Here is a 24,342-nt window from a genome sequence, read left to right as displayed (position 1 = left end):
ATTACACATTAATAAAAGAAACCTGGACTCTAAGTTATACACGATCATTGATTTCAAATATCTTCTTAACTTTCTGTTTAACTTACGTTAAAGATCTCCTATTATTGAACTATAAATCTCAATTTTTCCAAGTGCTTACAAATATAGCTACAACACCTTTGATCTGGTCTCAGGACCATGACCTAAGCCACCTCCCTCCCCAGGGGCACTAAATATCTATCCCCCGCTCCCTGTCCTTGCTCAGGACTCAGCATTTAACAGTGGAGAGAAAAGTAAGACTGAAAGCCAAAAACTATGATGATTCTGAGCATGGTTTGATACTCCCAAGATTTTCAGAAATGTAGTTGACATCCAGTCTTAACAAACATTCCTGAGAACAAGGCATTTTCCCACAGGGTGTTTAGGGGTACTTAAATACATAAAACAGGGAGTGGTCAGTCACTAGGATTAAGATCAAAATGACAATTCTGAGAAGAAAGTCTCAGTAGTCATTAGATTTTTCTCTTTAATCAGAAACAAAGCACTGAAATGGATTTAAGATGTCCCAATTAAAACTGTTAAGAATACCAAATATGAGATCACCAAAAGATTAATGTCTCATCTCAGTTTATGCCTTCTTGCTTCAAATGCCAGAAAGGTGTTCGAATTCCAAGAACTAGATCCTATATGTGGATATCTTTTTGAATCCATGAGCGACAAAAAGAGAAGATTCCAAGTTCTCTCTTCATACTGCTTAACCTATCTGGTGGATCTGACATTACTGGCCATTCACACCTTGTTGAAAGCCCCTCCTCCCACAGCTTCTGTGACTATTGCATGCTCTAAGGTTTCCTCCTGTTCCTGGTGGGCTGCTCCTTCCTGCTTTCCAACATGAACTCCCTCCTGAAGGAGGGAATTTTTGTTCTTTCTCTACACTTATCTCCCTTTGGCTTATTCATTCTTATGGACTGAATTATCAGTGAGTAAATGGTGTCCAAATCTACATGCACAGCCTTAACCTCCAGCCAGTGATCTAGCTCCACAGTTCCAGTTTCTTCCTTTCTGTTGTGTTGCCATTCGTTAGTTCCCAGGCTGAAAACTTTATAATCACTACTTATTATTTTATATGGAATACTAAAAAACAAACAAAAGCCTGGTTAAAGTACACTTTTGAGAGCTGGGAGCCTCCATGTGATTATTCTTCCCAGCTGTCTGCCCGCTTGTATTGAATGAATCAAGAAAACCAAGTTAAGGCATGAAATACATCTCAAAGCATTGTTGTAATTTATTCTATTAGAAGTACATTTTATACAAACAAAGCTATATAGACTGGGCCATATCTAATACGGACTCAGAAGTGAGGAGAGAGGAGAGTCTAGGCAATGAGGCCATGTAAATCCAAAACTGTTACTGTATTCTTACAAAAACCAATACAGAACAACAAAGAGAACAAATAAAACTACACAAACCTCAGGTCTTCCACACATCCAAACTTCAAATTAACTGTAAGAAGAAAAATCAAAACAGAATCCCTATGAGCTCTCTTCCTTGTTCCAGCTGCAAGCCTGTGTGAATGGCAAGGACAGTGTGGGGAACACTGAATGGTACAGAGAGGGCAGGAGCTAGGACTAGGTCTAACGCTGACCTAAAACCATCATGAGAAAGAGAAAGTGCATCCTATGAGTGAAAATACTGGAAAAAGGCATAATAAAGATTAGATTACAGATTTTAAAGTACACTGGATACAGGGAGGTGATCTTAGAAAGTTGATAGTTTAGGGGTGAAAGAAAATTAAAAGGAAGGAAAGGTGCCAACCTCAAACCATCAACCCTGTCCACAGATATAAAGAGACAAAAAAGTCTTTATTTATTTTTAAAAACACACACATACACAAATAAATGGTTACAAGAATTCCAACAATTCATCTGACAAAAGCTTCCCTCAAAAAAAAAAATAGTGAAGTAGAAAACCGTAACATATTCTAAACTGAATCAAATTATCTTCAAGCAAGCATTTAGGGACATGGAAGAAAAAAAACCAACAAAACCCTTGATCAGGAACTCAAAAACAAAGAAAAGAAGTGGACAAAAACAGAAGAACTGAAACAGACCTGACTGAACTGAAGAAACACAAGAAAAAAGGCAAAATCATTTCACAAATAAACACAGAATTACATTGGGGCCCAAGAAGAGCAGATTCACACAAAAACATAATAAGGGCATTGAGGACAACAGGAAAACAACCAAAAGAATGAAAATGAGATAAAGAAATATAGAAGGAAAAAGTATCAGACAGAAAGTACCTGAGAGAGAAGACAGGTAAAGGAGAGTCCTTTTATACATAATGGGAGTTCCACAGAAAATAAAACAATTAAGTAGAACTATTATTTAAAATTGTAATTCAAAAAACTTTCTAGGAATAAAAGAAGACCCAAATCTATATACTTAAAGAGCTCACTGAGCCTGCAGCAAGAAAAACTGAAATGCAACAAGGGTTCTTTTTCCCCAGGGTCTCGAGGAGGAGGGAAAGGATTGATGGTTGGGGTCGGGGTGGTGCCAAACAACTTACAAGTAAAAGAGAGTTAGACTGGCATCAGAATTCTCAAAAACGACATAGAAAGCAAGATAAAAACATAGTAGCATTTTCAAAAACCTCAAAGAAAGAAATGTAAATCAAGGAGTTTATATTCAGCTAAACTATCCTCCAAGTAGGAAAGCTACAGAAAAATAGTTTTAAACATATGAGAGTTCATGAGAATTCTATGCCCATCAGTCCCTCTTGAGAAATCTATGGCATTTCCTGAAGATAAACTGCATCAGATAATGAGGGAAACTTAGGAATAAAAAACTGATAATGAGCACTTAATATATTTAATTATACACTTAAGACTAAAACAAAGGTAGAAACTAAGTAAAAATATATCATATGATATGTGCTATATGTTACATGTTGCATGTTCTAACAAAGCATAAATGAAACAAAATTTGATGGAAAAGGGAAAAAAAAGCGAAAGTAGAACAAGTTCACTGGTTATTATATAAGAAATAGGTGGGATTTCACAAAAATATAATGAAAAACTCACAACCAGGCAATAAACGGTTAATTTTTTTCAGAAAACTTATGAAGGCATTTAAAAAGTTGTAACACCAAAGGCAACCACTAAAACATATAAAAACTTACCTAAATGTCAAAAAAAATTTGTCAAAGAAAAAAACACAACAAAAAAGCACATCACACACAGAAACATAGCAAATAAAATACAAATAATAATCATAACATAAAATATGACACATTCGATGCTAAACATTTTTATCAAGAAATATGAAAGAGTTAAACTTACATATTCTAATAAAAAGACTATTTGTTCACTAAGCGAGATCCTAATATATACTCTATACAAAAACATACCTAGAACAAAATGGTTCAACAAAACTGTTTAAAAATAAAGGTATGGGGGTTCAAAATACACAAATCAATAAACATAACCCATCACATAAACAGAACCAATGACAAAAACCCCATGATTTTTGATGCACAAAAGGCTTTCGACAAAATTCAACACCCTTCATGCTAAAAACTCTCAATAAACTAGGTATTGAAGGAGAGTATCTCAAAATAATAAGAGCTACTTATGACAAACCCACAGCCACTATCATACTGAATGGGCAAGAGCTGGAACCATTCCCTTTGAAAACCGGCACAAGACAAGGATGCCCTCTCTCACCTCTCCTATTCAACATAGTATTGGAAGTTCTGGCCAGGGCAATCAGGCAAAAGAAAGGAATAAAGGGATTTCAAATAGGAAGAGAGGAAGTCAAATCGTCTGTGTTTGCAGATGACATGATTGTATACTTAGAAAGCCCCATCGTCTCAGCCCAGAATCTCCTTAAGCTGATAAGCAACTTCAGCAAAGTCTCAGGATACAAAATCAATGTGCAAAAATCACAAGCATTCCTATGCACCAATAATAGACAAACACAGAGCCAAATCATGAGTGAACTCCCATTCACAAATGCTACAAAGGGAATAAAATACCTAGGAATCCAACTTACAAGGGATGTGAAGGACCTCTTCAAGGAGAACTACAAACCACTGCTCAAGGAAATCAGAGAGGACACAAACAAATGGAAAAACAATCCATGCTCATGGATAGGAAGAATCAATATCGTGAAAATGACCATACCACCCAAAGTAATTTATAGATTCAATGCTATCCCCATCAAGCTACCATTGACTTTCTTAACAGAATTAGAAAAAAACTACTTTAAATTTCATATGGAACCGAAAAAGAGCCCATAAAGCCAAGACAATCCTACAAAGCTGGAGGCATCACACTACCTGACTTCAAAGTATACTACAAGGCTACAGCAATCAAAACAGCATGGTACTGGTACCAAAACAGATATATAGACCAATGGAAGAGAAAGGAGGCCTCAGAAATAATGCCACACATCTACAACCATCTGCTCTTTGACAAACCTGACAAAAACAAGCAATGGGGGAAGGTTTCCCTATTTAATAAATGGTGTTGGAAAAACTGGTTAGCCATATGCAGAAAACTGAAACTGGACACCTTCCTTACACCTTATACAAAAATTAACTCAAGATGGATTAAAGACTTAAATGTAAACCCAAAACCATAAAAACCCTAGAAGAAAACCTAGGCAATACCATTCAGGACATAGGCATGGGCAAAGACTTCATGACTAAAGCACCAAAAGCAATGGCAACAAAAGCCAAAATTAACAAATGGGATCTAATTAAACTAAAGAGCTTCTGTACAGCAAAACAAACTATCATCAGAGTGAACAGGCAGCCTACAGAATGGGAGAAAATTTTTGCAATCTATCCATCTCACAAGGGGCTAATATCCAGAATCAACAAAAAAAAAACAACCCCATCAAAAAGTGGGTGAAGGATATGAACAGTCACTTCTCAAAAGAAGATATTAATGTGGCCAACAAACATATGAAAAAAAGCTCATCATCACCAGTCATTAGAGAAATGCAAATCAAAACCACAATGAGATACCACCTCACAACAGTTAGAATGGTGATCATTAAAAAGTCAAGAAATAACAGATGCTAGAGAGGATATGGAGAAATACGAAGGCTTTTACACTGTTGGTGGGAGTGTAAATTAGTTCAACCATTGTGGAAGACAGTGTGGTGATTCCTCAAGGATCTAGAATCAGAAACACCATTTGACCCAGCAATCCCATTACTGGGTATATACCCAAAGGATTATAAATCATTCTACAATAAAGACACATGCACACATATGTTTATTGCAGCACTGTTCACAATAGCAAAGACTTGGAACCAACCCAAATGCCCATCAATGATAGGCTGGATAAAGAAAATGTGGCACATATACACCATGGAACACTATACAGCCATAAAAAATGATGAGTTCATGTCCTTTGCAGGGGCAGGGATGAAGCTGGAAACATCATTCTCAGCAAACTAACACAGGAACAGAAAACCGAACACCGCGTGTTCTCACTCATAAGTGGGAGTTGAACAACGAGATCACATGGACACAGGGAGGTGAACACCACACATTGGGGCCTTTTGGGGGGTGGGGGACTAGAGGAGGGATAGCATTAGGAGAAATACCTAATGTAGATGACTGGCTGATGGGTGCACCAAACCACCATAGCACGTATATACCTATGTTAACAAACCTGCACGTTCTGCACATGCATCCCAGAACTTAAAGTATAATAAAAAAAATTTAATCGGCCGGGCGCAGTGGCTCACGCCTGTAATCCCAGCACTTTGGGAGGCTGAGGCGGGTGGATCACGAGGTCAGGAGATCAAGACCATCCTGGCTAACACGGTGAAACCCCATCTCTACTAAAAATACAAAAAATTAGCCTAGCATAGTGACGGGTGCCTGTAGTCCCAGCTACTCGGGAGGCTGAGGCAGGAGAATGGTGTGAACCCAGGAGGCGGAGCTTGCAGTGAGCCGAGATTGTGCCACTGCACTCCAGCCTGGGCGACAGAGCCAGACTCTGTCTCAAAAAAAAAAAAATTTAATGAAAGAATTGAAAATATGATAAAACAAAAAAAAAGGTATGGGGAAAAGCATATCTGGAAAGTAAACACAGTATGAAAGCGAGGGCAATGATTCTGATATGAGACAAGGCATAACTGAAACAAAAAGCATTAACTGTGACAAAGAAGGATATTCTTTAATGCTAAAAGTCTCAATTCACCATAATATCTACATACCAGAAACACAGCATCTGTTTCTATAAAATCAAAACTACAAAAGATGCAGGGAGATATAGAAGCCTGCTAATGATAGGAGATTTTAACATACCACTCTCAGTAACATACCATTCTCAGACTAAGTGGACCAATAATAAGAAGGGATACAGAAGGCCTAAACAACATAATCAATTTGTAAGCTTATGATTATATACTGAACTTTACAGCCTGAAAATGGAGACTGTACATTCTTCTGAACTGCAAATGAAACATTCACAAAAACTGATCATTTATTAGGTTCCACTTCCCCCAAATTTCAATATGTTCCATAGAACAGAATGACTAAAATAGTATTCTCTGATTTTAATGCAATAAAAGTAGAAATTATTAACAAATTTTTTTAAGTTAAAAGGCATTTTCATATGGAAACTAAATAATTTCCTATTATACACCTCTTGGAAGAAAAGGCAAGTATAAACAGAACTTACAAATGTTTTAAAATGATAATGAAAACATTATATATCAGAATCTATGGGCTATAGTTTGAATAATAACCAGAAAAAAATTTATAGCCTTAAATACTTTAACAAAATGAAAGAATAAAAATAAATTCCTATCTCAAGAAGCTGAAAAAAAGAACAACAAAAAGAAAGTACCAAAAAGGAAATAATAAAAATAAAAGCAGTGATTAATAAAAAAAAAAAGTTCTTTTTTTTTCTTTTTTGAGACAGAGTTTTGCTCTTGTTGCCCAGGCTGGAGTGCAATGGCACGATCTCGGCTCACTGCAACTTCTGCCACCTGGGTTCAAGCAATTCTCCTGCCTCAGCCTCCCCAGTAGCAGGGATTACAGGCATGTGCCACCACGCCCAGCTAATTTTGTATTTTTAGTAGAGACGGGGTTTCACCATGTTGGTCAGGCTGGTCTTGAACTCCTGACCTCAGGTGATCCACCCGCCTCAGCCTCCCAAAGTGCTGGGATTACACGCATGAGCTACTGCACCCAGCTGAAAAAAGTAGTTCTAATTGATAAATTAAAATTCTGCCTGCTGAAGAAAAATAACAAAATAAACATACCACTAGATATTCAAAGAACTTATTAAAGATACAAAATCAGAAATAACAAGAGTAAAACAACCAATGAAAGAGAAGAAATCCTACAACATTCCTTTATAGACTTTTTTTTTTTTTTTTTTTTGAGGCAAAGTCTCACTCTGTCACCCAGGCTGGAGTGCAGTGGTATGATTTTAGCTCACTGCAATCTCTGCCTTCTGGGTTCAAGCAATTCCACCTCAGCCTCCCAAGTAGCTGGGATTACAGGCACCTGCCATCATGCGTGGCTAATTTTTCTATTTTTAGTAGAGACAGGGTTTCACCATGTTGGCCAGGCTGGTCTTGAACCCTTAACCTCAGGTGATCTGCCCACCTTGGCCTCCCAAAGTGCTGGGAATACAGGCATGAGCCACTGTGTCCACCCACTTTACAGACACCTCTACGAATAAATTTGAAAACCTAAAAGCAAGGGACAATTTCCAAACTTGATCCCGTTAGAGATACAAAGTTTAAACAGACTCACTTCCATGAAAGAAATGAAGTTATCAAGAAAGTACTCCACAAAAAGCACCATGCTCCACTAGTTTTGCAGAGCAATCCTACAAAGGATTCAAAGACCAAATAGCCTCAATGCTGTACAAGTTGTTCCAGAGCTTTGGAAACAAAGGAAAATTTCTTAATTCTTTTTATGAAGCAAGTAAAACACAGACACATTAAACAAAACGAGAAAAGAAAGAAAACTGCAACTAATATCACCTTTGAATATTGACGCAAAAGCTTTAAATAAAATATTAGCAAACACAATTCAACACCATGGTGAGAAAATGATACACAAAGAACGTGAGAGACTTACTCCAGGAATGCAAGGTTGGTTCAATCCATTAATATAATACATCATAGCCATATCTCTAAGAAGAAAAATCATGATTATCTCCATAAATGCTGGGAAAAAAAGCCTTCAACAAAACTTAAGACCCATTCCTAATTAAAAAAACTCAAGAAAATAGGAATTCATGCATACTTTCTTAGTATGACAAACAAGTAAACATATATAATTTGCATTAAAGTCAGAATCTTATTTTTAATAGAGAAACACTAAAGGCGTTTGTACTCATATCAGGAATCAGACATTCTCTATAAACTATTTAGCACTGTATTAGTGGTATTTGTGGAGGGAATTTTAAGAAAAATCAATTAGAGGCATCAGAATTGGAAATGAAGGTGTAGAACCACCTTTATTTGCAGGTGATAAGATCATACATCTGGAAAACCTTAATGAATCAATGATCTTTAGAAGGCAGAGAAACAGGTACTCTCAAACATTGCTACTGAGTATCAAAATTGGCATATTCCTTATGGATGGGAATTTGGTAATATCTAACAAAACTACATATGTTTACCTTTTAACTCAGCAATCCCACTTCTAGGAATACCAGACATTAATTCTCTAGTAACACAAAGCTATCATTCACTGTGGCACTGTTTATTTACAAAACATTGAAAACAAGCTAAATGTCCATAGATAGGAGGGTAGCCAAATAAACTATAGCACATCCACACAATGGTGTATTATGCAGAATGAGAATGATCTCTTTGATACAGAATGATTTCCAGGATATATTTTAGTGAAAATCCTGGAAACCTTTCTGAATATATCTTTATGTACATCTTGACTTTTGAAACCATGTCAATGTTTTGCCTAGACAAAATCAACAAGGATGGGAGGAAAACCCTAAAATTGAATACAAACAGAAACAAAGGAATCAAACCATGTTTCAAGTGAATAACATAACCACACTCTAACAGAGAAGAGGAGAATTAACCTAAGTAACTTCTGAATATAGTATTCAAACTAAAGACAAAAAAAACTCTAAGCAAGTGCTGAGCTCTAATTAGTAAGATTGTTTTTTTCAAAGGTATGGCTTTGCAATTCTGAACTACTTTCTAAGCATTACAGGGTTTAACACATAAGAAAATATATTGTGAATAAAATGGAAGTCAAGAGTTACAAATTTGGAAAGGGAAAATAAATCCTCTGTGGTATGGAACTGTAACTGGAAGTATAAATAGAGACCCACACCCACACACACTCTTATCTAGATATCCATGCACATATATACACATACATGTTCATATATCTACATTCACAAAAAATCATACACTCATGTTCATTGTTTTTTCATCTAAGCAATCTTAGCCTTACGACTCATATAATTAGACCTGAAGAAATGCAATTTCCAAATTTCTATATCTAAATTTAGAATATATTGGCTATGCCATCTATAGTGTAGGAAAGTGTTACCATAGGAACATCTATTAGAAAAGATGGCTTTTAAACAGAATAGCCAGGCTAATATTTGAAGAGAAAAAATTTACTCATATATGTGACTGGATCACGAAAACAGGAAAAATATAATATTAATCCTAGTAAATATTTAAATGTACCCATCTCAGATTATTTTCATGTTAGTAAGAGTAATCATATTATCTCTTATAAAAGTTGCAAAGATGCAAATGTTACCTGGTATTTCACAATGAAATGTATTAAAAACCACTGTACCTTACAGTAAAATCATACGAGCAAGAGGCCAGCACAGAAGCATGAAATGGTGAAAACTACAAAAAAAAAAAGAAAAAAAAAACCCTTTTTGAAGTCAGCTGTGATTATAACACTGCTTTCTATGATCATTCCATAAACATTATAATAAATTTAAGTTGAGTCAGAGCTGTCACTTAAAATTATGCTTTTTCAAAGCATATATGCTATAATTTGAGGCAAAAATCTTCTGGCCTTATAAGTATCCATCTTCAGGAAAAATATTTTTACATTCTCCAAAGAAAATTATCCCTCAAGCTTTTTAGAACTTATTTAGAATAAAATATTCCCAAAATGTTGCTATTCTGGAAAAATTAAATACAATTTCATATTGGCTATCCAAAAATGATTCTTACAGGCCAGATGCAGCAGCTCACACCTGTAATCCCAGCACCTTGGGAGGCTCAGGAGGGCAGATCACCTCAGGTCAGGAGCTCGAGACCAGCCTGGCCAACATGGTGAAACCCCGCCTGTACTAAAAATACAAAAGTTAGATGGGCATGGTGGCACATATGCCTATAATCTCAGCTTCTGGGGAAGCTGAAGCAGGTGAATTGCTTTAACCCAGAAGGTGGAGGTTGCAGTGAGCCGAGATCATGCCACTGCACTCCAGCCCCGGCGACAGAGAGAGACTCTGGCTCAAAAAAAGCAAAAGCAAACAAAGTAATAAACAAAAATGATTCTTACAAATATAAGGGATTTAAGTATATAAGAGTACAAATATATAATTATATAATTTACCAATTTTACAAATATATGATTGCTATAATCACGTTATCAAAATAAACATTTAAATGTTAAATAAAAACACCCTTAAGTTATTTTTACGTTATTTGTATATTACAGCTAATGGAAAATTATATCAAGGGTAAAAAGCAAGTTTAAAGACAAGTAACGTCTTCTAGATGAGTAATAATGTACTTAATAAGTTGACCTTTGCAATTACATTTCTTCAGTGTTTGTCTTATCGCACTTTAATAGTTAAATACACATATATAACTACATTTGACCAGCACTTAGTTTGCAAAGTACTTTCACTACATTACCTTATTTCATTCTCATAATCACTCTAAAATATACATAGAGCATATTTTTCAACTGCTAAAACTTGTCCAATTAAACAAATTTATTAAAAAATAAAACAGAGCACTGTGTCTCCTATGTTGCATTGCAGCCAGAGAAACTTAAAATATTAACTTAACTAAAAATTTAGAATTTTTGGCCAGGCACAGTGACTCAGCCTGTAATCCCAGCACTGTGGAAGGCTAAGGCAGGCAGATCACTTGAGGTCAGGAGTTCAAGACCAGCCTGGCCAACACTGTGAAACCCTGTCTCCACTAAAAATACAAAAAAATTAGCCGGGCATGGTGGTGCACACCTGTAGTCCCAGCTACTCAGTAGGCTGAGGCAGGAGAACAGCTTGAACCCAGAAGGCAGAGGTTGCAGTGAGCTGAGATCGTGTCTGGGTGACAGGGCAAGACTCCATCTCAAAAAAAAAGAAAAAAAAATTTAGAATTTTTTAAATAGTAGGAATAACATAATTACCTTATTAAAATAATCAATAAGGTACTTTTTTATCCTTAACGTAAAAAAACAAAAGGATGAAATTGGGAGATGTCACTTAATAAGATGTTTTCCACAGTCATTTAGCAGAACCTGCCTAAATATAAAAGCCAGGAAACCAACCTAAGTCATCTTATAACCCAGATAAATTTACTGAGACCATCATTAAAAATTTACCTCATCCTCTGCTGTTCACAGAGTAGAAAACTTTCTATATCCCAAACATCTGTGAACAGTCATGTATGTTATCATGTTAGGAAAAAGAAAGAATTAACCATCTCTTTACATCTGTTTCAACAAAGTAGAGACTCTCGCTAATTAGAAACTTATAAAGAACATAATACTAAAAGTGAATTACTATAGTTAAAAAAATATATTAAAGGAAAAACAGATTGGAGGTGAAAGAATGAGAAAAAGATTTTTATTTAACCTTAAGTATTGAATGTCTACATTGCCCAAATTCATTCAATCATTATTCAAATATTTTTGCCTAATTTTAGCTTTCACTACTAATTAATTGGGTAACAAAAACACATATAAAAAAGAATTAGTAACTCCAATCCCTAAACCCAGAACACTTTTTAATATACACTTCATTGATTATATTTATATAATTTTATTCTACATATAAAAGAAAAGATGAAAACTTACTTTCACCCTCCTAATAGCATAGGTATGACCAAGAAGTTCAAACACTGGTTGTCGTACATTCCTTAAGTCCCAGCCTCTCAAACTACAGTCAACCGCCCCGGTCACCAGCAAATTCTAAAAACAATTCAGAGAAACATAAACTGTGACATCTTTGCAATTAAACAGTATGCAGGCTTTCCTACTAGAAACAACATCTGCTTTCTGATAACTATTTAATATGAACCAAGGAGTCATTTTTGAGAAGTTGTATAACAAGTATAGACAGGAATCAACATAGACATTAATAGCAAAAAACTAATATGACTTGTGAGAAAAAGAACTCAATATGCTTTATGTACACGATGGAACACTACAGACAGCTGGAAAAGGCATAGTTCCAAACAGCATTGTGGATTTTCTAATTCAGCTTTAGAAGCGGCAGTAAATACATAGGGGATTAAAAATTTTATCTGACAAATGAGCCCAGCTTTCTCTTCAAAAGGTTTTCCCTGGAATTCCAGCACCTTGGGAGGCAAAGGTGGGAGGATCACTTGAGGCCAGGAACTTGAGACCAGCATGGACAATAAAGCAAGACCCTGTCTACCCAAAAAATTAGCCAGGCGTGGTAACACACACCTGTAATTTTAGCTACTTGAGAGGCTGAGTGAGGCAGGAGGATTGTGTGAGCCCAAGAGTCAGAGGCTACAGTGTGGTATGATCACCCCACTGTACCTCAGCCTGGATGACACAGCGAGACCCTGTCTCTAAAAAAAAAATAAAAATTTAAAAAAGGTTTTCAAGGCTGGGTGCGGTGGTTCACTCCTATAATCCCAGCACTTTGGGAGGCCAAGGCCGGTGGATCACTTGAGCCCAGGAGTTTGAGACCAGCCTGGGCAACAGTGAGACCTCATCTCTAAAAAACAAACAAACAAAAAGGGTTTCAACATACTCTGAGGTTTTTCCAGGCATTAAAAGGCAAGAGGTCTGTTCATTTAGGCACATCTGAAAAAGCAAAGGCTATGAATTAAATTTTTCCATGTTCTCTAAATCTAAATTAATCATTGTTTCCAACTCTCTTGGACCAAAATTCTTAATACGATATCTAATCATATCCAAGAATGTAATCAAATAGTGGTGAGTCTCTTATCTATTCCGGCTTTACAAATTCTGCTATCTAGAGCCCCAAGTGAACCCAGAGGTCCTGGCTGAATAGGACAAGTGCTGGGTCCACACTCAGTCCACCCCACATAACTCAGAACAGCAATGGATTTAAGTTGGCGCAAAAGTAGTTGCAGTTTTTGCCATTGAAAGTAATGGCAAAAACTGCAACTACTCTTGCACCAACCTAACATTGTCTGACTATGTTGGGCTTTAGTTTAAGCTAATTTGAAGAAAAGTTTCAGTTATTAGAAAATAATTTTTGTAAATCACTCTCAAATGTCTATCAGCATCTTTCTTTAGAGTTCCCAAACATCTAACATACAGGCCATAATTAATTTTCCAATATGAAACATTCATTTATGAGTTTGAAACTATAGTCATCAGCATTGAAATGTTTAGATTGAGTAATATCATTGTATATATACTATATTTTAACTTATTTTACTTATTTTTATTTAAAGAACTCTGCCAATACAATGTTCTTTTAACTTTAATTAATTTAAAACTGGGAAAAAAACAAAGCATACATTTTACCTATTTGTCACGGTCAACAGACCACTTCAGGGACATAAATACAGTCATGCATCACTTAATGATGGGGATATGCTCTCAGAAATGTGGCATTAGGCAATTTCATCTTTGCGTGAACATCACAGAGTGTACTTACACAAACCTAGGTGGTACAGCCTAGTACACACCCAGGCTAGATGAAACAGCCTATTGCTCCTAGGCTACATGCCTGTCCAGCATGTTACTGTACTGAATACTGTAGGCTACTGTAACACAATTGTAAGGCTTTCTGTATCTAAACATAGAAAAGGTATAGTAAAAATATAGTATGGAAGATAAAAAATGGTAGTAGGGTCCTTACCATGAATGGAGCTTACAAAACTGGAAATTACTCTGGGTGAGTCAGTGAGTGAATGAGTAGTGAGTGAATGGAAAGGCCTAGAACATTACTGTACACTAAATTTATTTTTTATTTCCTTTCTTCAATAATAAATTAACCTTAGCTCACTGTAATTTTTTGCTTCATAAACTTTCTAATTTTTTTTAAAGTTTTTTGTTGTTGTTGTTGTTGTTGTTTTGAGATGGAGTCTTGCTCTGTTGCCAGGCTGGAGTGCAGTGGCGTGATCTTGGCTCACTGCAGCCTCTGCCTCCCAGTTCAAGCGATTCCCCTGCCTCAGCCTCCCGAGTAGCTGGGACTACAGGCGCCTGCCACCATGCCTGGCTTTTTTTACTTTTTGACTCTTCATAATAACAAAACTTAAAATATAAACACATTGTAGAGCTATACAAAAATATTTTCTTTCTTTATATCCTTAGTTTATAAGCTTTTTTCTATTTAATTTTTTTTTTTACTTTTTAAACTCTTTTTTTAAAAACTGAGACGCACACATATTAGTTTAGGACTACACTGAGTCAGGATTATCAATATCACTGTCTTCTACCTTCACATCTTGTCCTGCTGGAAGGTTTTCGGGGGCAATAGGAATTTTTCAGCTCCATTATATCTTACGGGCCCTGTCACATATGCAATCTGTCACTGGCTGAAATGTTGTTATGCAGTGCATGACTGTAGTATATTAACACATATTTAATCCATTTCTATCTCTGATTCATACGCTCATGTGGTTAACTGAAGCTTTAAAAAAGTTGCACATGGACACTTATCTTACAGAGGCATGAAAATTGGTTAGGCTTAAAAAGGAAGATAAAACAGAAAAATTTAAAAACTGATGGACTGTCAAATTAAAAATCAAATTACAATAGTTCAACAGCCTGACTAGCAAAGTGAGAAAGAAATAAAAGCAAAAGATGATACAAAATTGCAGGGTTAAGAGCAATAAAGAAAAAAATTACATAAGGCAGCTTCCCAAAACAAACAAGTAAGCCTGCACTGTTGAACTTTGAGAATTTCTGTTTCTTATTTTGCCCGTTTCATGAGCACTTAAATCCAATTAATGCTAATGCAGGTCAGTCACAATCATTAATTAGAAAGGAAAGGGACAGAATTTAACTTAATGGTCCAGGAACACCACCAAAGTCCACATAAACAAAGACAAATAAAATTCAGAACATTTTAACATTAGGAAGGACAGCAGCATAGGATAGAGCCATACACTATACCTCATTGTATTTACACCAGTCACAACTCAAGATTTCTGCCTGATGTGCAGGAATCACGATTCTTACTCCTGCTGCCTTCACATCCCATATTCTCAGAGTCTGATCACCTAGTAAAAAGGAAGACTTGATCATTTCCCATCACACCACTTGAATGTGCAGTGACATAATGTGTTCACAATAATAAGTCAAGTAAAAATACACTGCTTTCAGTGTTAGGATATTGCCACCTTCAGACTTATTTTTTAAACCATAATAATGTATAGGAACTATTCAAATGAAGGAATACAAAAAGTGACGTTGCACCGTGATAATGCTATTAGGAGGAAAATTTGAATCTCACGCTGAGATAAACACAGTATTGACTAAACACACAGCTGGTGTGTGTTCGAGGCAGGAAAGGCCCTGAAAATTCTCGTGTTAGGAAATAAAGTGATCACTCTGTACCAGTGTATTGTACTAGAAACCAACAATAGAGTAACAATTTTACTGCTAAAGGCGGGCAAAGTCTACCAAGCCAAAATGGAGAATTTTTTACTTTTCATTGTCAAGTATACTATATTTTAACGGGCCAGCTATAAGTGTATTTTTCTCCTCAAAAAAAAAAGCTAAAAAATTTTATTTATTTATTTTTATGTATTTATTTATTTATTTCGAGACAGAGTCTCACTCTGTCGCCAGGCTGGAGTGCAGTGGCACGATATCGGCTCACTGTAATCTCCGCCTCCCAGGTTCAGGTGATTCTCCTGCCTCAGCCTCCCGAGTAGCCAGGACTACAGGTGCACACCACCACGCCCAGCTAATTTTTGTATTTTTAGTAGAGACGGGGTTTCGCCATGTTGGCCAGGATGATCTCGATTGCCTGACCTCGTGATCCACCCGCCTCAGCCTCCCAAAGTGTTGGGATTACAGGCATGAGCCGCAGCGCCCGGCCTATTTATTTATTTTGATATTTTTTTGAGACAGAGTCTTGCTCTATTGCCCAGGCTGGAGTGCGGAGGCACGGTCTCAGCTCATTGCAACTTCCACCTCCTGGGTTCAAGCAATTCTCATGCTTCAGCCCCCCAAGTAGCTGGGATTACAGATGTGTGCTACCACGCCCAGCTAATTTTTGTATTTTTAGTAGAGATGGAGTTTTAGCCAGGCGTGGTGGCTCACGCCTGTAATCCCTACCCTTCGGGAGGCCAAGGTGGGCAGATCACCTGTGGTCAGGAGTCTGAGACCAGCCTGGCCAACATGATGAAACCCTATCTCTACTAAACAAAAAATTAGTTGGGCGTGGTGGTGGCGGGTGCCTGTAATCCCAGCTACTGGGGAAGCTAAGGCAGAAGAATCACTTGAACCTGGGAGGCAGAGGTTGCAGTGAGCCGAGATTGTGCCACTGCACTCCAACCCAGACAACAAGAGTGAAATTCTATCTCAAAAAAATAAATAAATAAATAAAGAGTGAGAGAGATGGGGTTTCACCATGTTGGCCAGGCTAGTCTCGAATTTCTGACCTCAGGCAATCTTCCCACCTCAGCCTCCCAAAGTACTGGGATTACAGGTATGAGCCACCATGCCTGGCCAACAAGCTAAAAACATTTAAAGATTACACTTTGCATTATTACAAAAACAGTTTGCATTACTTAATTGCACAGACACCCAATTAAATGTTTTACATGTTGTTTGCCTCCAGTTTTTCTAAACTATGAGGAAACAAAAGATGACAAGATGAATAAAATCCAGAATATATATACCTACCTCAAAAGTAAAATATAAACAACTGATGATGTGAGAAAACCAGTTCCATGTAATGAAAAGCATGTAGTTTCTGGCATGATAGCAGGTGGGGACTTGAATGCCATTTTGTGGTTATAGGATACATACCCTGCATAGGATACGTAATATCTCTGAGACTGATTCATTCTAAAGGAGACACAGAATGCCCAACATGCAGCGCTGTCTAAGAATTTCATCACGTTTCTGTAAAGCACCTAGCATGGTCTCTAACACATACTAGAAACTGCCAAATACGGTATATAAAAATGCTAAATTTTTAAAGTATCTTTCACTTATCTACATATATTTTCCTATATTCCCAATTCTAAATCATATATTGTTAAGCTAAATTTAGCTATCCTAGGCAATTTTTTCCTGGCTTCTTCGGAAGTTGCTTAAGAAAGATAAGAAATGTGTTGGCAGTAATGAAATGCAGAGGTTAAGAACAGGGCCTTTGGAGTTCCTGAGCTTGGTTCTAATCCAGCTCAATCATTTGGTGGCCACTGATGCTTAATCAAGTTATTTCGCTGATCTTCAGTTTCCTACCTACAATAAAATAACTGCCTTGTAAGGCTGAAATGAGACAAGGTAGTAGCATGAGTACGGTGCCAGATACGCAAAAGATATGCAGTAAGCTCTCAATATGTGTGTTTTTTTTTTATGAGAAAAAATACCCATGATTAGAAGTTATTTATGTCCCCCCAATAATAACAACATGAATAATAGTTAATATTTGAGTGCTTCCAATGTGCCACATACTGTTCTAAGCATTTTATACATATTTTTTCTAAAAACATCACAACTACATAAAGTAGGAATTTGGAGATATAAAAGTAATTGTATAGTACTATACAAATGAGGAATATAGTACTATACAAATGCAGCATATAAAGATGAAATAACTCACCCAGGATAGTAAGCAACAGAACCAGGACCTGGAACCAGAACCCAAGGAGTCTGGGTCCCCAGCATGCACACTTTACAGCTTTACAACTACACTGCGCTGCTGCCTCCTTGTGTTGCTGGACGACAAATGCCATACAATCAATGTTGGCTAATTCTGGAGGAATTATTTTAATTCTTTTAATTTCCAGGCTGGAGTGCAGTGATGCGATCTCAGCTCACTGCAACCTCCACCTCCCAGACTCAAGCAATCCTCCCATCTCAGCCTCCCAAGTAGCTGCGACTACAAGCGCACACCACCATGCCCCTGCTAATTTTTCTATTTTTGGCAGAGACGGGGTTTTGCCATGTTGTCCAGGCTGGTTTCCAGCTCCCGAGCTCAAGCAATCCACCTGCCTCAGCCTCCCAAAGTGAGGGGATTACAGGTGTGAGCCACTGCATCCAGCCCTGTATTACTTTTTCTATAAATCGGAGAAAAATTTCTATTATATTTTCAATACCACTTCCCATCCTCCCTGCCCAGAGGCCACAACAGTCATGAATTTGGTCCACAGCCCTTTAGTTTGCATTTTGGTAATACTTTTATTATATTTTTATGGATCCATAAATACGTACTACTACTGCTTTGTATGTAGGATTTTTTTTCCTTTTTTGATTTAAAAATACTGTCCTGCTACATTAAAAAAAGGTTGAAAACCACTTTGATAGATGAGAGTAACAAACATTTTTGGACCTAGCTAAGGATGGTACCTCCGTCCATAGCACCTCATTCCTTGCTCAGACCACAGCTGACAGGCCAAATGGGGGTACTTGGGATTTTTCTTACTACAACTGAAAAATAATGTCAGTCCCTCTTCTATGGCAGAACTGACAAGTTATAAAATTCAGGACCCACTAGTGACAACATATCTCATTGTGAAAAATGAATGATAAGTTTGAAAGTACCAAAAGGAAATTGTTCAGAATTGGTACAGGTTAGAGCTTCAAATAACTCCAACGGCCCTCATTATAATCACTGTCTGTGGTCTAGCCACCAGTCAGTAGAATCTGCTTCTAGAATTCCAAATAGCTTTGATGAAATGATCTCTCATGACTTTCTCCAGCCTTCAGTGTATAATGCAGGGTGACGTGGATGTCCAGTGTTTGGCCTGCCCAGAAATACCCTTTTTCTAGGAACAGCATGTCCTTTTCTCACCAAGTGATTCTATAAAGACTTACACCTCAACACAATTGACTGACCAAAGGCAGGTCCAGGCAAGACCAACCACAGTACCTCATTCCCTGCTTTGACTACAGCTGAAAGGTCAAAGGCAGGTACTTGGGATTTTTCTGAACTATAACTGAAAAAATAATGTCTGTCCTCTTATGGTAGCATTTACAACTTATAAAATTCAGGAGGCTGGGCATGATGGTTTACACCTGTAATCCCAGCACTTTAAGGGGCTAAGGCAGGAGGATCACTTGAGCCCAGGAGTTCGAGATCAGCCTGAGCAACATAGTGAGATTCCAGCTCTACAAAAAATTTAAAAATTAGCCAGGCATGGTGGCACACACCTGTAGTCCCAGCTACTCTGGAGGTTGAGGTAGGAGAACTGCTTGAGTCCGGGAGGTCAAGGCTGCAGTGAGCCATGATCGCACCACTGTACTCCACCCTGGGTGACAGAACAAGACCCTGTCTCAAAAACGTAAAAATATGGCCAGGCACAGTGGCTCATGCCTGTCATCCTAGCACTTTGGGAGGCTAAGGCAGGTGGATCACTTGAGGCCAGGCGTTTGAGACCAGCCTGGCCAACATGGCAAAACCCTGTCTCTACTAAAAATACAAAATAAATAAATAAATTAGCCAGGCATGGTGGCACACGCCTGTAATCCCAGCTACTCAAGACGCTGGGGCATAAGAATTACTTGAACCCCAGGGGTGGAGGTTGCAGTGAGCTGAGATCACGCCCCTTAACTCCAGCCTGGGCAATGGAGCAAGTTTCTGTCCCCCCAAAAAAAAAACTATATATATATAATATATATATATATAATATATATAAAATATATATATATAAATACAGAAAAAATATATATATATAGCTTTGATGAAATGATCTCTCATGACCTTCTCCAGCCTTCAGTGTATAATGCAGGGTGACGTGGATGTCACGCTGCATTATACACTGAATATATATATAAACATAGTGAATTTATATATATTTATATATATATAAATTCAGGAGCCACTAGTGGCCATGTGTCTCACTGTGTGGAGAAAGCCAGTCTGCAGAGCCAAGTCAACAAGTAGAGAAAAGTCCAGATGAGAAACAGAATGTGTCCTGGGGCCTTTCAAACAGCCCTTCCCTTTCTGGAGTATGCTTTTTAACAAATTTCACAAAGATCTAACATAGTCCCAGTTCTATCACTTGCAGGCAAAGGAAATCACTCTTTATCATAAGGGAGCGAAGGGTATTCTCCTAAAGCGTCAGTCTCCTGAAACTAGCTAAAAAAAAACCATTTAATTAAGCTCGAGGTTTCCATTAAAACATACAAAATGCCTAAATAATATATACTAACTTTCAGGAATTTATATCTAATACTAGGTTAAAAGTATAAATTCTGCTATAGCTATAGCATTGTCTCAAGATCAATGAGCTTGGGTTCACCCTAATAAGATATGAGTATGTGAACTGACTTAAAGTACCAAAACAGGTCAGGCATGGTGGCTCACACTTGTAATCCTAGCACTTTGGAAGGTCAAGGCAGGCAGGTCGTTTGAGTTTAAGAGTTCCAGACCAGCCTGGGCAACCGTGAAATCCTGTCTCTACAGAAAATACAAAAATTAGTCGGGCTTGGTAGCATGCACCTGTAGTCCCAGCTACTCAGGAGGCTGAGGTGGGAGGACTGCTTGAGCCTAGGAGGCAGAGGCTACAATGAGCCAAGACTGTGCCGCTGCACTCCAGCCTGGGTGATAGAGCCAGACTCTGTCTCAAAAAATAAAAATAAAAAAATTTAAAAGTACCAAAACATTACAATGAATGCAGACTAGGAGATTAAGAACTGTTATTGTAGGAATAACATGGATGAGTCTCACAAGACATAATGTTGCATGAAAAAAACCAGTAACAAAGGTATGAAAATGGGCAACATTAATCCATGTTATTGGAAGGCCACACAGTGGTCACCTGGGGTGGGACGTGGTGAGAAGCGACTATAAGGATGGGAGGAGGCCCTCTGGGAACATTCTGTTTCTTCACCTGGGTGCCAGTTACAAGGATGTGTTCATTGTGAGAATTCACCAAATTGTATACTAAGATTATGCACTGTTCAATATGTGTATTATACTTCAATAAAAGATTAAAAAACACAATAACAAAGGTTGGGAGGTTTTGTTCCACACCACCACTTTCTTTCTTTTTTTTTTTAATTATACTTTAAGTTTTAGGGTACATGTGCACAACATGCAGGTTTGTTACATATGTATACATGTGCCATGTTGGTGTGCTGCACCCATTAACTCGTCATTTAACATTAGGTATATCTCCTAATGCTATCCCTCCCGCCTTCCCCCACCCCACAACAGGCCCCGGTGTGTGATGTTCCCCTTCCTGTGTCCATGTGTTCTCATTGTTCAATTCACACCACCACTTTCATGCAATATTTAAAAAAAAAAAAAAAAAAAAAGAGCCATGGCTTGAGCTGTCCCCTCTTGCAGTTAATTTAATGGGCACAAAAATGTGAAGACTGCTGGGCAGGAGCTGAGAATTCCACTTCCTTGACAGCAACTCCTGATGTAACCATTTGGCACTTCATCCTCGCCATTTTGTTTTCCAGGTAGGAAGGAGACCTAATGACCAAATGGTACAATGACTCATTCAGCTCTTTCAGCTGCCAGGACTTCTGTATTTATATTGTTTTTTCAATTGAATTTTCTAGACAACTGGCCTTTCATTGACAGGCAGACATTTATCAGGGCCCTGTGATGGTGCCATAGACTCACCTGAATTGCCAGCTTCTCTTATCAATTGCAGACCTGCCACTGACAGAACCAGTGAATTTTTTTTTCTTTTTTTTTTTTTCTGAGACAGAGTCTAACTCTGTCACCCAGGCTGGAGTGTAGTGGCTCACTGCAACCTCTGCCTCCAGGGTTCAAGCGATTCTCCTGCCTCAGCCTCCCAGTAGCTGGGATTACAGGCACCCGCCATCATGCCTGGCTAATTTTTTTGAGTTTTTAGTAGAGATGGGGTCTCACCATGTTGGTCAGGCTGGTCTCAAACTCCTGACCTCAAGTGATCCGCTCACCTTGGCCTCCCAAAGTGCTGGGATTACAGATGTGAGCCACTGTGCCTGGCCAGAACCAGTGAATTTAAATGTACAATATGGGCAAGGAAGTGCTGGCTGTTACTATGTCTAATTTCAAATTGCAGCAGGTACGAGGAAGTTGCATAAGGAGAATGAGTGTAAACATAAGAGTCTAAAACTGGGAAGTGAACTGAGTAGCAAAAGGGTACTTTGGGGCCAATATAACTTAACCGAAATGCCTTGTGCCTCTCAGATGTAATATGACTTTTTCTTACAGTAGAACGAGGTTTGCTTTAACTACTGGATCCCACACATTCAGGCATGGTTATGACTTACGCAACTAGATGGAGTCTGTGACAGCAATAATTTAGTTTTCATGATTCCAAAGATAATTTACTTCATATTAATCCTCTTCATAAAAAGAGCTCAAATATTCTTCCCTTCTATCTCATATAATTTAGAAATATGATGTCTGTACTAACACAACTATCATGAATTAGGCAAAATGCAATGTCTTTAGGCAACTCTGCTATGGAAGGTAAATCTAGATCTACTGGTAGTTCTCTAAAAACTTCCCCCATTTTGGCCTGTCTTAGCTTATCTAATGGTAACTAATTTGATGCTAGATTTGCAAAACTATACAACTTTGAAGATGACTAAATTCTTGGAGCAAACTAAATGCTACGTTCTCATATATTATCTTAAAATATAAATTGTTGTAATCTGTTGAAAGATATACTTAACTACATGTGTGCAACAGGATTAGACATAAAAATACATCTTGACTGCCTATCACATAAGCTTCCACTATGAAAAACAAGTATTTTACAACTATGGGTTCCACACTACAAACTTTGCAGTTGGGATTACTTTATGCAAAGATTATGTTATGTTTTATAATAAACACTCGTCCGTAAGCAAGAAGACAAAGCAAGAGAATTAATAAAGATAAACTCACTAGCAAAACTGAGAAAAAACTAAGCAGTTCTCCAACTAAAGCAACCACTTCTCTGAATTCGGCACTGAAACCATTCTGTAGATTTTTAAAAAAAGAGTTGAGTATATTCCTTTGAAAACAGACATGCAATTCCCATTACCTCAAATAGAACTAAGCTGTCAATTTGGCATCTCAAACACAGCTATTCCATAGACTAGTACAGTGCTTCCCAAATTGGGCTGTTCACTAGATTCAGCTGGGATTTAAAAATGTATCTCCCAGGGGTATTCTGTCTTTTTATTCAGCAAGACTTAAGATGAAGCCCACAATTCTGCTGCTGTTTTTTAATGCTCTCCCAATGGTTCTGATGATTAGCCAGATTCTAGAATCGCTGGACTAGTATGTTACTATACAACCATGCTTTCCAGCGTCTACCTAGAGCAAATTACCCTAGAGCTCCAAGAGTTTTAGCTCTTAGATAAGCACTAACTGTCCACTGTTACAGCACATATACACTGCAAAGGCCATTCTGATGGTCCTCAAGTATGCTCTGTTCTCTCCATGTTCCAACTTTTGCCTCCCACTTCCCATTTCCTCTTACTTGTCCATAAGGCAGCAGCTTAGACTATTTCTTCAGGGAAGTGACCTGACCAGCCAACCCTGACAAGCTCAGGAATCCATTTATACATTTCCACAGAATTCTGGGCACACGTGTTAATAATAACAGGTAATACTTAAGGTCGGGTGCAGTGGCTCATGCCTGTAATCCCAGCACTTTGGGAGGCTGAAGGCGGGAGGATTGCTTGAGCCCAGGAGTTCTAGACCAGCCTGGGCAACATGGTGAAACCCTGTCTCTACCAAAAATACAAAAATTAGCTGGGTGGTGGCGCACACCTGTGGCCCTAGCTAGTAGGCTGAGGTGGGAGGATTGTTTGAGCCCAGGAGGCAGAGGTTTCAGTGAGCTGAGATGGCACCACTGCATTCCAGCCGGGCAACAGAGCCAGACCCTGTCTCAAAAAAAAAGAGGTAATGCTCACAGAGCTTTTACTCTGCCAGTCACTGTTCTAACTAAGCCCTTTATGCACATTAGCCACTTAATCCTCCTCAAAACTCCATGATGTGGATACCATTATCACCCT

General features: G+C 37.9%; 1 protein-coding gene across 4 annotated transcripts in view; it reads right to left on the bottom strand.

Annotated features, from left to right (window-relative positions):
* The window catches only part of PEX7 (peroxisomal biogenesis factor 7), a 91,343-nt gene that overhangs the window by 31,877 nt on the left and 35,124 nt on the right, over positions 1-24,342 (bottom strand). For 2 of the 4 annotated variants that reach the window (NM_000288.4, NM_001410945.1), the window contains exons 6-8: positions 15,325-15,431; positions 12,055-12,168; positions 9,805-9,860 (exon numbers count right to left, since the gene is read on the bottom strand). The exons of 1 other annotated variant lie outside the window; for it this stretch is intronic. In NM_000288.4, coding sequence (NP_000279.1) covers positions 9,805-9,860; positions 12,055-12,168; positions 15,325-15,431 — 277 coding nt within the window. The remainder of the gene's footprint in view (positions 1-9,804; positions 9,861-12,054; positions 12,169-15,324; positions 15,432-24,342) is intronic. One more of the 4 variants, XM_006715502.3, reaches the window with a different exon arrangement.

This window comes from Homo sapiens, chromosome 6, assembly GCF_000001405.40.
Source record: "Homo sapiens chromosome 6, GRCh38.p14 Primary Assembly".
Classification (NCBI taxonomy): Eukaryota; Metazoa; Chordata; class Mammalia; order Primates; family Hominidae; genus Homo; species Homo sapiens.
Note: the sequence above shows the minus strand (reverse complement) of the source record. Positions and strands in the feature narration are given on the sequence as shown.